This window comes from Homo sapiens, chromosome X (genome assembly GCF_000001405.40).
Source record: "Homo sapiens chromosome X, GRCh38.p14 Primary Assembly".
Classification (NCBI taxonomy): Eukaryota; Metazoa; Chordata; class Mammalia; order Primates; family Hominidae; genus Homo; species Homo sapiens.
The window spans coordinates 110,600,682-110,602,576 of NC_000023.11; the positions used below are offsets into that span (position 1 = coordinate 110,600,682).

At 47.7% G+C, this 1,895-nt stretch overlaps 1 annotated feature.

Annotated features, from left to right (window-relative positions):
- Positions 296-796: an enhancer, noted in NCBI's record as "H3K4me1 hESC enhancer chrX:109844205-109844705 (GRCh37/hg19 assembly coordinates)". NCBI's record gives its function as "activates a minimal SCP1, AML or CMV promoter by ChIP-STARR-seq in primed H9 embryonic stem cells {active_cell/tissue: H9 hESC(primed)}" and the evidence as "EXISTENCE:reporter gene assay evidence [ECO:0000049][PMID:30033119]".

Sequence of the window (1,895 nt, forward strand, 5' to 3'; positions counted from 1 at the left end):
ATGGGACAGGGGAGCCCCCTCCCCCCAACCAAGGGAGGCAGTGAGTGAGCATGCTACCCAGTTTTTCCACAGAACTGTGCAACCCACGGAACCGAAGATCCCACTCATGCACCCACGCCATCAGGGCCTAGTGTCCCAATCCTGGAGCTGTGCAGATTTTCAAATGCCTCTCAGCTAGAATCTGCTTAAGCCTACTGACATACTGGGGGAAGGGGTGACCAGCACCACAGCTGTGGCAGCCTGCTGTCTAAGCCATTTGAGTTCCTTGGGGGAAGGGCAGCAGCCAGCGCTGGGACTCACAACTGTCTAACAAGCTAAGCTCCCTGGGCAGGGGAAGGGAAGCATCCATCTCTATAGCTCCAGGCTGCGTTTTTCCCTTGCTGGAGACAGGGAGGCTGGATGTCTTGGTCCGAAGATGTGTCACCCACAGCCCAACGCACCAGCTGTGGCAGACTGTGGCCAGAGTGCCCCTTCAGGCCTAACCCTGACTCATCCTTCCTCATTGGGTGGGGCTTCCTTGCAGGAACTCCAGTAACTCCAGCCAGATGCTCAGGGACAGAACACGGATTTCCCTGAACCTGAGCTCATAGGGGGAGGGGTGCCCACAGTCTCTGTGGACCAGCAGACTTATCCTTTCCTCCTGGTAGTTCTGAGGAATCTGAGCAACCAGATGAGTGGGTTTTCCCCCAGTGAAGCACACCACCTCCACCAAGTGACAAAGTGCTTCACTAAATGGGTCCTGTTCCCTGTGCCACCAAACTGGGTGAGACACTCCAATAGGGGATGTCAGACACCATATACAGGAGTGATCCTACTGGCATCAGATTGGTGCCCCTTGAGGTCAGAGGAGTAGGCACCCATTTTTGCTGTTCTCCAGCCTCCTCAAGTGACATCTCCAGGTGCGTGAGTGAACCAGATTAATAGGGCCTGAATGAACCCCCGGAAAACAACAGGAGCCCTACAGAAGAGGGAGCAGACCATTGGAAAAAAAACCAACAAACCAGGAAGCAACAACAACAGCATCAACAACAACAAAGCCCCCACAAAAACTCCATCCAATTGTCAGCAGCTTCAAAGATCGAAACTAGACAAACTCACGAAGATGAGAAAGAATAAACGAAAAAACGCTGAAAACCCAAAAGACTAGAGTGCCCCTTCTCCAAATGATCACAGTGCCTTTCCAGCAAGGACACAGAACTGGACAGAGGATGAGATGGATGAAGTGACAGAAGTAGGCTTCAGAAGATGGGTACTAAAAAACTATGTTGAGCTAAAGGAGCATGTTCTAACCCAATGCAAAGAAGCTAAGAACTTTGATAAAAGGTTACAGGGGTTGCTAACTAGAATAACCAGTTCAGAGAAAAACATAAATGACCTGATGGAGCTGAAAAACAGCACGAGAACTTCATGAAGCATACACAAGTATAAATATCTGAATTGACCGAGTGGAAGAAAGGATATCAGAGGTTGAAAACCACCTTGCTGAAATGAGGCATGCAGACAAGATTAGAGAAAAAAAGAATGAATAGGAATGAACAAAGCCTCAAGAAATATGATACTTCATAAAAAGACAAAATGTAACATTGATTAGGGTACCTGAAGGAGATGGGAAGAATGAAAACAAGTTGGAAAACACACTTCATGGTATTATCCAGGAGAACTTTCCCAACTTAGAAAGACAGGCCAACAAGCAAATTCAGGAAATACAGAGAACACAACTAACATACTCCATGAGAAGTTCAACCCAAAGACACATAATCATCAGATTCTCCAAGGTCAAAATGAAAGAAAAAATGTTAAGGGCAGCCAGAGAAAAGGCCAGATCACTTACAAAGGGAAGCCCATCAGACTAACAGTGGAAATCTCAGCAGAAACCATACAAGCCAGAAGAGGCC